Source organism: Homo sapiens, chromosome 12, assembly GCF_000001405.40.
Source record: "Homo sapiens chromosome 12, GRCh38.p14 Primary Assembly".
Taxonomy (NCBI): Eukaryota; Metazoa; Chordata; class Mammalia; order Primates; family Hominidae; genus Homo; species Homo sapiens.
Window position 1 is genome coordinate 104,737,094 of NC_000012.12, and position 12,896 is coordinate 104,749,989.

The 12,896-nt window shown below is 47.4% G+C and overlaps 1 protein-coding gene across 4 annotated transcripts in view, besides 2 other annotated features; it reads left to right on the forward strand.

Moving 5' to 3' along the window:
• Nucleotides 1–12,896, forward strand: part of CHST11 (carbohydrate sulfotransferase 11) — a 305,067-nt gene that overhangs the window by 280,146 nt on the left and 12,025 nt on the right. The gene's annotated exons all lie outside the window — the stretch shown is intronic.
• Nucleotides 3,900–3,949: an enhancer, noted in NCBI's record as "active region_6934". NCBI's record gives its function as "activates an Ori minimal core promoter by ATAC-STARR-seq in GM12878 lymphoblastoid cells {active_cell/tissue: GM12878}" and the evidence as "EXISTENCE:reporter gene assay evidence [ECO:0000049][PMID:35858748]".
• Nucleotides 5,656–6,277: an enhancer, noted in NCBI's record as "H3K27ac-H3K4me1 hESC enhancer chr12:105136527-105137148 (GRCh37/hg19 assembly coordinates)". NCBI's record gives its function as "activates a minimal SCP1, AML or CMV promoter by ChIP-STARR-seq in naive H9 embryonic stem cells {active_cell/tissue: H9 hESC(naive)}" and the evidence as "EXISTENCE:reporter gene assay evidence [ECO:0000049][PMID:30033119]".

Consider the following 12,896-nt stretch of genomic DNA (forward strand, 5'->3'; position numbering starts at 1 on the left):
ACTCCATAACAACTTTAAGGAAAGGAAGTTAATCAGAACTTCCCGACTAAGAACTGAGTTCAATAATCATTGCCCAAGGGGCTTCCCTGTACCCAGAAGCCACGTAGATCTGGGCTGTGGATCAGCCTGCAGGCTCCTTGCCATCCCCCGTGGGAATGACTGAGGTCACACGGGAGGTCATCGTGGGGGTGGCTGACTTGGGGGCCAAAGACATGTACTTCAGAACAGGACAGCCAGGGTGGAACCTGGGCCTCACCACTTGCAAGGCCTGAGCCTTGGGACATGAATTCAAGCCCTCTGAGCCTCAGTTGACTCATTTGTAAGTTGGGGATATCACTTTGGGGATTATTGTGAGGATTAACTGAGATGGTGACTGTCAAGTACTTCGTGGGATGCCTGACGCATCACAGAGCCCTGCAGGTGAGTTTGTAGTTTTCCCTTGTCTGGCCACCTTGGGGTCATAGATTAGTTAGTGAATGATCAGTTGATCTAGAGCCTTCTAGATCTTTCTGCTTCATTCCAGATCTCGCATTGACCCTTTTGCCCAGTGCCTTCCTCGGGGCAGTGGAGGAAGACACAGAGTGGAGGTATTTCTGACTCCTCTTGAGCGCCTGTGGTTTTGATGTTTTTCAAAAGAAAAGAACATTTCAGAAATAGAGGAGGGAGAATCCCCCACCAGGCAGTTTTGCAGGGAGGGCCTGGCCTGAGAATGTGCTGGGCATGGGGAGGTGAAAGATGAGCCAGGCGGAAAGGGAGGGCGAGGCTGTCCCCTGGGAAGGCTGGGTGGCCTGTCCCCAGCTGTCACTGGATGCCTTTGTTCCCTGGAGCCAAGAGGCCTCCCTTGGAGGCATCAGTTGCCACAGGAAGCAGATTCATTCATGAAAACCCACCCCCCAGGCCCCGATCCTACTTGCTTTTTTGAACCTTTCTGTTCTTTGCTTTGGCTCAGAGAATGCCACTTAGTGTATAAAAAAGGATCCCAACGTCCCGCCCTGCTGGACCGGTGTAATTATGTCTGCTACACTTCCTTTCTGGAAGGCCCTGGTCAGGGGGTGCTGCAGCCTTCCCAGACCCCGCGGGCTCATCCTTCTTCAGCAGACCGGCCTGCCCTGTCATTTTGGGCATAAAGCCTGTGCAGGGACAGCCATGGAGCCCTTCCCCTTCCCGACCAGCTTTGAGGTTCGCAGAGGTGCCCCGCTCTCTGTCGCCTCAAGGCTGCACTCCCTGTTCCCCCACCCAATCCTCTCTTAGATGGCCTTCGGCGCCAGCTCACTCCTCCTCTGTGGGCTTTGCATGAATACTTCTTTCTTGGGAAAATCATTCCCTGCTCTCCCAAGCTGGAACGGCACTCCTGTGCCATGCGTCCATGGCACCTGTGCTTAATAAAAGCAGTGAACATGAACTAAACACACACCCAGGCAAGGGCCTGGTCTGGCCTTCCTGACTTCATCCTCACACCCGCCCCATGATGCAATGAGGCGTTTCCTGAGCACTTACCTGCAGGGGCACGTGCAACTCCCTCCTCTCATCTGAGCTTTACAGCCACCTTTAAAGCAGGGAGTACTGTTTGGCTCATTTTACAGTGAGGAAATAGAGGCTTTAGGAGAAAGCCCGGACCTCATAGCTAGTAGGTGCTAGATCTGGGAATCTGACACTAGTGTCTTCTCTTGGCCACTAAATTACACTCCAGCTGCCACACTGCATTGCCATCTTTTCTGTTCCTTGTCCCTGTTAGAATGTGTGCTTTCTCCCTGAAATCATATCTTGCTTCAAACTGGGCTCCCCCAGCGCCTCAGGCTGTGGCCTGTTTGCATAACTGGCAGTCACTGGACTGATTCAGGCCAAGGATGGAGCTGCCACCAGGTTGCAGGGTCCCTCCTGAAGACGGAGGACCAGGCTGGGAGGTAGACAGCCTGCTGGGCAGGGGTGAGGGGTGAGCTGACCAGTCTGAAGCTCATCCAGGGCAAAGCGGGACCTGCAGGTGGCAGACGCTGTCAGTGGGAGGTTGGGAACCAACGCCGGTGTGTGCCAGAGGAGCCCGGGTAGTGGGTGCGGGCAAGAGCAGGCCTGAGCGTTCTCTCCCTCTCCACCTGGAACACCCTGAACTCATCACTTTTTGGGCTTCAACCAGGGGAGGCAGGGAAAGTGAAAGGAAAAGTGACATCAGCCACTCTCCCTCCTTGTCAGCAGCTTAGGGCAAAATTCTAGTTGGGAAAGGTGTCCTCATCTTTTCATTACTACATTGGCCTGAATTTCTAGAAGGTAGAGTGACTTCTCTCGGCCAGTGTATTCATCCGTGCACCAGGCATACAGTCAGCTATTCTCACCATCATCTATAACCACAGGAGGTCCGTGGCACCGTCATCCCCATTTTACAGATGAGAATGCTGAGTCTCAGATTAAGTAACTTGCCCAAGGTCCACAGCCAGTAAGTACTAGAGCCGGATTTTAAGCCCAGGCTGTCTGGCTGCAGAGCCTGTGTTCTGAACCACTCTGCTCTGCTGCCCCTTGATGGAAACAGCCACATAGTAAAGAACTCTATTTTTTTCATGAGAAAAAACTTTTAACTGTGAATATTAATTGCTTGTCCCTTAAGAGCAGCTGTGGGTCAAGTGACACAGTAAGTTCTTTGCAGACTTCATCCCTTTAAACCTCATAAGAGCCAGTGAGGTTTGTGCTCTCTCAGCTCCCACTTTACTGATGAGGAGACTGAGGCCAGGAGAGTGAATCTTACTGACCCCAGATCATGGGGCTGGTCAGGGCCATTGCCAAATTTTACATCCAGATTGGTCTGCCTGACTCCAGAGTCTGATCTCCAGCCTGTGCTGATGAGCTTGCTCATCTCCGCAGAGTTCCAGACATCCTAGGGAGAGTAAACCTTTGTTCCATCAAAGCAAATACTCTCCATTTTTGTTCAGTATTTATTGAATGAGATCAGGGAGACACTGATTTTCTGTAAAAATTGTATCCTGAAATCAATGTATTTAGTTTCTACCACTTAGTTTTAGTAGGGTCACTGGCCTTTAAAGAAAAAAATGCAAAGACTTTTCCCAGTTCTTGCCTCACTTTTCTTTAATGAGCTCTGAAATCAGGCCAGCCCAGGGGGACCTATCCCACGTTCCCTATTCTGGATAATAAAATGGGTCACTCACTTCTTTTTAGTTTTATAATTTCCATTGATCATAAATCTACATGTGTTGTCAAAATACTCCTCTGAGGTTGATGGAAGGTAGCAAAGATGGTTTTTCTATTTCATAGGAATGTTATGGCACCACACAGATGACACTCCCTGCCCTCTCACTCTGCCCTGGAATCCATCCCTGCACCTCCAACAAGGGCTGCTGGGTGGATAGAAGGAGAAAATCCCTCTTTTTGCTCTGCTGTCCAGCAGCACAACAAAAAGGCATATTTGGGTTCCAGTCTTTGCTCTGCTGCTTTCTGGGAGTGGGTGGATGAGCTCTCATCTCTGGGCCTCAGTTTTGCCATCTGAAAATCAGAGGGTGGTATCAGATAATCACAAAGGTATTTTGTAACTCTGAAGTTCTGGGTTCTAAGGACTCTGAGATGCAAAATTATTTGAAAGCTCTACAGGCAGAAGAATATTAATACCTCTGATGTCATGCAATTGAGGGTGTCTTATTCACCTCTGGGCCCCGGGTCTGTGTCCCTGCCATTGTGTGTGACTCTGTTCCTGGATATCTGTATCTTCATGTCCTCGGCCATGGCCTAAGAAGCCGCAGAGATGTCTGACTTCCTCAGTGAACAGCAGATGGATGGATTTAGACGTGCTTGTCCCTCTAGCACTCCACGATGGTCTTCCTGTTCCACTTTCACTATGATTGAGAATGGGCCGTCCTTCTTGAAAGAGGAAAAAGGCAGTGAAGTGATAAACAAAATCTTCTTAGTACTCTGCAAAGATGTTCATGTGTTGCCACAAAGCTAATCACCCTTTTCTGAATTCTGCAAGTATTGGGCACCAAGTGCCTGGGACACTGAGATACCTGGGCCTTATCCCAGCTGCCCTGGAGGGAGGGCATGAGTTGAGCTCACATTGTTCATAGTGACATTAACTATGATCAGGATGGAGCAGGTTGAGGCAAAGGGGTGAAGGTAAAGGTGGTGGAAATGGCTCCGTTGGGGCCCCAGGCTTGGTGGTGGTGGTTACTGGGGAGAGAACGAGGGTGTCTTCCAGGCAGGGGTAGGAGGAGGGCTTTGGAGCCCCATCTGCAGAACTAGCTCCACCTCTCTCTTGGGGGAGGACCAGCCTTCCTCTCACTGGAAGCATGCAACATGCAGAAACGAAAGGCCCAGAGCATGGCTCATGCGTGCCTTTGGAACAATGGAGAAATCGGGTATTGTTAAAACATGCTGCTTGACTAAGAAATAAATGGACCTCTTTGGGTGCCTCTCAATTCATAGTTCAGTTACTGTGAAATTCCATGAATCCTTTACAGTCTGTTAATACATATTAATAGCTAATCTTGATATTGCCAGAAAATTGCTCTTCAGACCTCCAATTTGCTTAACAGCTGCCAATCTAAGTTGCCGCCAATTGCCTCTATCGGTCTTCTGTGTCAGTGAGATATTAAGTCGCCATGAGCCAGGCATTTTGCACAGATGACAAATGTGTTTGGCGTTCACTGCAGAACCCGCTCATGTAAAAGCGACGCTCAATCATCAGTTCTCAAAGTGAAACAGAGACCACCAGCCTCAGAATTGGCCTGATAGAATCATCACGGGGCAGCGATCAAGAGCAGGTTCCCAGGACAGCCCGACCCACTGAACCAGAATTACTCAGGGTGGTGTCTGGGAACCCGCATTGCATCAGATTCCCGCTGTGATTCTTACATACACTGAACATTGAGAAATGCTGTCAGGTGAAAGGCAAAGCAACATTCCTGCTATCCTGCCCCCGGCACTTGGGAAACCACCCTCTGTAAGGTTTACAGTAGCTACTTCCTGAGTGCCTACTATGTGCCAGGTACCATGCTATGTGCTTTCCTTGTGGGCTCTCATCTAATCCTCAAAATGACCCTGAGAAGTAGACTTTATTGTTGTCCCCATTTTGCAGATGAGGAAACTAAGGCCTGAAGGGCTCAAGTGATTAGGCCAAAATAGAAGTAGAATATTCTGGTCAGTCTGGGAAGAGAACCAATGAAGCCAACTGGTTCAAAGAAGGGAGAGGCCAGGAGGAGATCCTGAAGGGAGGCAAGCCCCTGCCTCCCAAGAGCATCACCCTCTGGGAGGCCCATCGTGGTAGGGGAGGTTGACGGCCTCCCTGGCTAGGGGAGGGGTAAGCCACCCGGGACTGCTCAGTGGACCCATGCTCCTCCTCCCCTACTCCTGCCAGCAGCGACTTCCGAGGACCCCAAAGCACTAGCCAGCAGGTGCTCAGCCTGCCTGCCCTTACTTCTGATTTCCCAAGCAGTGTGGGAGCTGCATCCCTTCCTCACCGTTGTTCCTGTTCCGGGCCACCATTCATCGGAAAGCAGGCCAGCTTGGCAGCAGCCCCATTCCTATTCCTGCCCCCCTCCGGCACCCTGCCCAGGCCTCCGGAAGCCCAAACAGCTGATCTGAGATGTCAATAAGGCCCTTCCAGCTGCACCTGGCCTGGCTGAAAGGGAGCCCCGGGGGTACCACACAGCCTCAGACCAAGTCCTTCCTGGGCAGCCCTTGGCGCCCTCCCCCTCCAGCGTGATTTGATTCCCCTCCTCTTGTTTCTTGGCCTCACCAGACGGGTGGAAAGTGCCAGCGTCCCTCCCTCATCAAAAGCTGTTGCATTTCTACCCAGGGCTGAGAGTCCCCGCTCTTCTCTCTTGGCCTCCAGCCCCAGAGCTGATGCTAAGCTCCTGTGTGGCAGCCACAGGCTCTAAGCCAGAAATCTCCACCAGAAGATGAGGTGGGGGCTGCGGGTTTAGGCACAGGAAGCCCACGAGGCCTCATTGGCCGTCTTGTGACCCGAACAATCCCTGCTGTCCCAAAGTCATTCATGCATTCAACAAAGCTTTCAGTGTCCACCGTATGTGAAGCACTGGGAATACAACAGTGAACAAAAATTAGTGAAAACTACCTGCCATCTCAGAGTTAACGTTCAAGAAGGGAGAGACCAGCAAAATAAGTAAATTGAGATAAACTAAGGAGATAAGTACTACAAAGAAAAGGGAAGCAGGGAAGGGGATGGGAGAGCTGAGGTTCCAGAGGTGTCTCTTAATATCCACCACTGAGTGTGAGCCTTCCTAACTGCACCCAGGGACTCCCACAGTCTGGCTGGTTCCGCCTTGTCTTTCTCTTGCAGTTGCCCACAGGTTCCACTAAGTGAGCAGGGGCAGCTGGGCTGGAGGCAGTGGGGGCTGAGAGCAGCCAGAGGAAGGCACCCCCTTACTATCCTCAAACACCTGGGGGAGGCACCAACCCTACAGGGATGGTTCGGCTCACACCACTAAAATGATTGTAGCTAACATTTAAGAATACAGAGATATCACATGAAACCTAATATTCTGACTTCTCTTTTTTTAATTTATATTTTTCTAACTTTTAAGTTCAGGGGCACATATGCAGGTTTGTTACATAGGTGAACTTGGGTCATGGGGGTCTGTTGTACAGATTCTTTCATCACCCAAGTATTAAACCCAGTACCCATTAGTTGTTTTTCCTGATCTTCTCCCTCCTCCCACCTTCCACCCTCCAAAAGGCCCCACTGAGTGTTCCCCTCTGTGTCCATGTGTTCTCATCATTTAGCTCCCACTTATAAGTGAGAACATGTGGCATTTGGTTTTCTGTTCTGCATTCGTTTGCTAAGGATTATGGCCTCCAGCTCCATCCATGTCCCAGCAGAGGACATGATCTCTCTTTTTTTATGGCTGCATAGTACTCCATGGTATATATGTACCACATTTTCTTTATCCAGACTATTATTGGGCATTTAGGTTGATTCCATGTCTTTGCTATTGTAAACAGTGCTGCAGTGAACACATGTGTGCATGTGTCTTTATAATAGAATGATTTATATTCCTTTGGGTATATACCCAGTAATGGGATTGCTGAGTCAAATGGTATTTCTGTCTTTAGGTCTTTGAGGAATTGACACACTGTCTTCCACAATGGTTGAACTAATTTACACTCCCACCAACAGTGTATAAGTGTTCCTTTTTCTCCGCAACCTTGCCAGCATCTGTTATTTTGACTTTTTAGTAATAGCCATTCTGACTGGTGTGAGATGGTATCTCATTGTGGGTTTGATTTGCATTTCTCTAATGATCAGTGATGCGGAACTTTTTTTTGTATGATTGTTGGCCTCATGTATGTCTTCTTTTGAAAACTGTCTGTTCACATCCTCTGCCCACTTTTTTATGGGGTTGTTTTTTTCTTGTAAATTTGTTTAAGTTCCTTATAGATGCTGGATATTAGACCTTTGTCGGATGCATAGTTCGTAAAAATTTCCTCCCGTTCTGTTATTGGTTGTCTGTTTACTCTGTTGATAGTTTCTTTTGCTGTGCAGAAGCCCTTTAGTTACATTAGATCCCACTTGTCAGTTTTTGCTTTTGTTGCAATTGCTTTCGGTATCTTCATCATGAAGTCTTTTCCCGTGTGTATGTCCTGAGTGGGATCGCCTAGGTTGTCTTCTAGGGTTTTTATAGTTTTGGGTTTCACATACAAGTCTTTAATCCATCTTGAGTTAATTTATGTCTGTGGTGTAAGGAAGGGATTCAGTTTTAATCTTCTGCATAGGGACAGCCAGTTATCCCAGCATCATTTATTTATTTATTTATTTATTTATTTATTTATTTATTTATTTTTTGAGACAGAGTCTTGCTCTCTTGCCCAGGCTGGAGTGCAATGGCATGATCTCGGCTCACTGCAACCTCCGCCTCCCAGGTTCAAGCAATTCTCCTGCCTCAGCCTCCCAAGTAGCTAGGATTACAGGTGCCCACCATCATGCCTGGGTAATTTTTGTATTTTTAGTAAAGACCGGGTTTCGCCGTGTTGGCCAGGCTGTTCTCGAACTCCTGACCTCAAGTGATCTGCCTGCCTCAGCCTCCCAAAGTGCTGGGATTACAGGCATAAGCCACCACGCCCGGCCCCTAGCACCATTTATTGAATAGGGAATCCTTTCCTCATTGTTTGTTTTTGTCAGGTTTGCTGAAGATCAGATAGTTGTAGGTGTGTGGTCCTATTTCTGGGTTCTCTATTCTGTTCCATTGGTCTATGTGTCTGTTTTTGTTCCAGTACCATGCCGTTTCGGTTACTATAGCCCTGTAGAATAGCAAGTAGGGTAGCTGATGCCTCCAGCTTTGTTCTTTTTGCTTAGGATTCCCTTGGCTATTCGGGCTCTTTTTTGGTTCCATATGAATTATAGAATACTTTTGTCTAGTACTGTGAAAAATGTCAGTGGTAGTTTAATAGGAATAGCATTGAATATATAAATTGCTTTAGGCAGTAGGGCCATTTTAATGATATTGATTCTTCCTATCCATGAGCATGGAATATTTTTCCATTTGTTTGTGTCATCTCTGATTTTTTTGTGCAGTGGCTTATAGTTCTCATCATAGAGATCTTTCACCTCCCTGGTTAGCTGTATCCCTAGGTATTTTATTCTTTTTGTGGCCATTGTGAATGGGAGTTCATTCCTGATTTGGCTCTTGACTTGACTATTGTTGGTGTATGAGAGTGCTAGTGATTTTTGTACACTGATTTTGTATCCTGAGACTTTGCTGAAGTTGTTTATCAGCTTAAGAAGCTTTTGGGCTCAGACAACAGGGTTTTCTAGATGTAGGATCATCTCATCTGCAAACAGGGGTAGTTTGACTTCCTTTCTTCCTACTCAAATGTCCTTTATCTCCTTCTCTTGCCTGATCACCCTGGCCAGAAATTCCAATACTATGTTTAATAGGAGTGGTGAGAGAGGTCATCCTTGTCTTGTGCTGGTTTTCAAGGGGAATGCTTCCAGCTTTTGCCCGTTTAGTATGATGTTGGCTCTGGGTTTGAATTCTGACTTCTCTTGAGAAATTGAAACATCTCGAAAGACCAGGTCCTCAATTCCCTAATGACGGTATCAGTGAGATCTATGTGGCATCAGCCACCTTCAGTGGCCCAGTGGACGCTGACTGGGTTCATTCCCATTCAAGGTGCCGAGGCCATTCATTTCTATTTCCTGATGGTTCTGGAGAGCCTTTGAGTTTGTGACTCTAACCCAGGTCACCCAATATAAACCCTGCCTACAAAAGAAGTACTTTAACTACACTAGGGTGAAACAACCCTTTCTCATTGCTCAGCAAATCCTGGGCTTTCCTTTCTGCTCATTTTTTTCTGCCTATAAAGATCCCAAGGTTAAAATGGAGCTCAGAACTATCACCCACCTGTGCCAGTGTCAGCTGAGGCTGGCTTGGGGGCTGATCCAGAGGCCAACACCAGGCCCTCCATCACTATCACCCAGAGCCTCCTACCTCACCTTCAGGGCTCAAAATGCTTTCCAGCCACGGTGCATTTTCCTTCTTCCTTTTGCCTTGGAAAGGAAGGCAAAGCTTCTGCAGAGATTCAGTTGTTGTTCCTTGCAGTCAAACAGGTGCTTCCCTAGTGACAAGTTACAATCCAGAGAAACCAATTTCCCTGACAACGTTAATGTCAGTTAACATGAAGCCACTTCTTTCCTAAACCCTTTACGTTTTGTACCAGGTCCAGACCAGATCGTTTCTTTAAAGGCCCAATATTTTTCTCCTTTCTTTTCTAAACCTAAGAGGTTTTGAGCATTATGTAATTCTTAGTGCTTCCCCTAAAATGCACCCAAAGATGTCTGAGACCTGTGACCTTCTAGACCTTTGACCCCTGGCTCTACTGAATGAAAAGTCCCCTATCTTAAACCTGAGGACCAGGAAGGTGAAACTGGCCCAAGATCATATGCCGGTCACCACTCCAGTCCAGTTCTTTGCTTTAGCTTATAGCTCCTGGCATTGGAGCCCCTGAAATAGTGGAGTCCCACCCGGGCAGCCTCAGATTTCCAGGAGCAATTAAATATAACAGATCTCTGGGGTGGGACTCAGTCCTCAGTGTTTAAAGCTCTCCTATGATCCCAGTGAGCTGCTAGGGTTGAGACCCACGCCTCCAGCGGCTGCCCGGGAGCCGATAACTCCCGGGTGGGTCTCCAGACCCCAGGAGGCTGCACCATGCAGGGTCTCAGACCACAGTCTGCCTGGACTCGAACCCCAGACCCGGTTCCTAGCTCCCTGAGCTTGAGCAAGTTAATTATTCTCCCTGTGCCTGTTTCCTTATCCACAAGTTGAAAATACTAATGATACCTACCTCATAGAGTGTGAAGATCAACAGTAGCTGGTACATAGTAAGTGCTCAATATATGGTAGCTAGTATAAATATGTGACCCTTTTTTTGCTGTGGATGTGGTGTCTTCGGTGATTCCTCATGACTAGCCCTTTTCATGAGAGTTTAGTAATTCCTCTGCCAGAAAGAAACGTCATATAATCAGAGCAAATCAGCTCATCAGGTGCTCCTCCCCCTCCCCCAATTCTGAAACAGAAAGATGATGGCAGCACAACTGACATGCTGAGAGGGGTTTTGCATTCAGATTTTTAAGTGGAGAAACTGAGGCTAGACCCAAGCTAACAGTTGTTAAAGGCAGATTCAGAAAACCCTCAGTCACTTAATGCTTCCAAATGTACCTGTTTCTCTGGGTCTATTTGCCTGCATGTCCCCCGACTCTGCCCACCCCGAGACAGTCAAAGGGGGCGACCTCTCTTCCTCCTGTTTGGGTTCTTGTGTCTGAGGGAAATTGCAAACGCTGCAGTAATGTTTTAATTTAAGGGAAACCAGCTCTTCCTTTTAAGATGAAACGTAGTAAAATTTTAAAGACTTTTTCAAACAGTCCCTAAATTTGTTACTTAAACTAATTATGGTTGCCTTTTATAAATGTCCAAATTAAAAATAGACATCTAAACGAGAATGCAGGACACAGCCCAGAGCCCGGAGCCATGTTCACGGTTTCCTAGAATCAGCCCTCCTCTGACCTAATTTATACTTTTGAGAGATCAAAGCGAGATGAAGGGAGTTGGAGGCTGGGGCTGGGGGTGGATCTAGGAGTCTGTCGGCAGCAGATGGCGAACCTGGGTTCTGTGTTTTGTAATTAAGTATAGCTGTGAATTGGTGAAAGACATTAGATTACAGTCATTTCCAAATAGTATAAAGCTGTGGTTCTCAAAGTTTGGTTCCTAGTCCAGCGGCATCAGCATCTCCTGGTGTTATAGGGGTCGAATTGTGTCCCTCCCAAATTCATACGTTGAATTCTCAACACCCAGGACTTCCAGAGGTGACTGTATTTGGAGAAAGGACTGTTAAATGGGGGATTGAGGGAAAATGAGGACTTTTGAGTGGGGCCCTGATCCAGTCTGACTGGTGTCCTTATTAGAGGCAGAGACACCTGGAGCGCATGCCCGGTGGGGGCTGGAGGGGGGAGGGGGGAGATTAAGAGGAAGAGACACCTGGGGAGTGGAGTCGGGGGAGAGATGGCCGTGTGAGAAGGCAGCAAGCAAGGCACATCTACAGGCCAAAGAGAGAAGCCTCAGGGAACACCAGCCCCACCCGGCACCTTAGTCTTTAAATCCCAGCCTCCAGAACTGTGAAAAAATAAATCTCTGTCGTTTAAGCCACCTGGTCTGTGGTATTTATTATGGCGGCCCAAACACTTTGGGGGCTTGCTAGAAATGCAGGTTCTCAGGCCTGTCAGACCTGCTGAGTCAGAAATTCTGGGAGGAGAACCCAGCAAGCTGTGTTCTCACAAGCCCTCCAGGTAATAACGTTCATGTAGGCTCAAGTTTGAGAACCACTGGCATGAAGTATGATTAGTACTCAGGGGTAGCCAGCCCAGGAGAGAATGACGCATGGTTGGAGTAGGGACTGGTCGGCTAAATATAAACTTTCTTTTAGTAGGCTCTGCAGCCTCTGGAAGAGTCCCAACGGGTTCCTTAAATGGGATGTGGTATGTGTGAAAGTGTTCCATACATGAGGAAGCTTTCTGTTGACCTTAGGTGGAAGTGAATCGTGGCATTATTCAGTCAGCTGAAGAAAGCAACCCTCCAAATACCCCAACACAGGCAAACTGAATCCAAGAATCTCCCTCCTGCACTGAATTTTCCGAGTCCTTTGAAATCTTGTGCATGTTCCTCTCCAAACAACTGGAATGTTTCTCTTTTCTGATAACTAGAGCAAGAAGATTTAATCATATTTCCCCTTTTGTCCTTGCTGCTAGGAAGCCCACAGCCAATTGAGATTCTAAATCCCAGCCCTCATAGAATATTTTTTTTCTATTTTTATTTCATACTGCACATATGTCCTTTGTTATGGTCTCTTCAAAACCTTTTGAGAAAGCAAACAAGAAGAGGGGAGAGAAAGGGAATGTAAGAAGAAAGACATTGATCTCACAGCTCAGATAATTGTCAGATCAACAAGTCCTTTCTTTGTAAAATTGATCAAACTTGGTTGGAAAATTTGGGCATTCTCTTTTACTATGAGGGAACGGGTTTTTCTTCATTAATGAGTGAGTCTTCTTCACTCTCTTGTCTTCCTGATGTCCCCAGAGCTGTTGGTCCCATCAGTAGTTCCGGAACTGTGCTCAGGGAACGTGTTAGTTGCTGAGGGGTTATGACAGTTACAAAAGCTCTTCTGAGCCCTGGTGGAGCCAGGCTGTCATCAGAAATCTCTCCTGCCCCATTTTGACATGGTGGCAAAGAATTCCTCTCTTCCGTCTGGCCTGTCCAGGGCTGTCCTTACTCCAGGTTTCATAAACCAAGGTTCAAGAAGTCCACAGATAGAACCCCCAGGAGTCTAGAGTTCCATAGAAGAACTTTATTGATTGAGTGTTTTTATTTTGGTGATAATCTTTTGAAAAATGA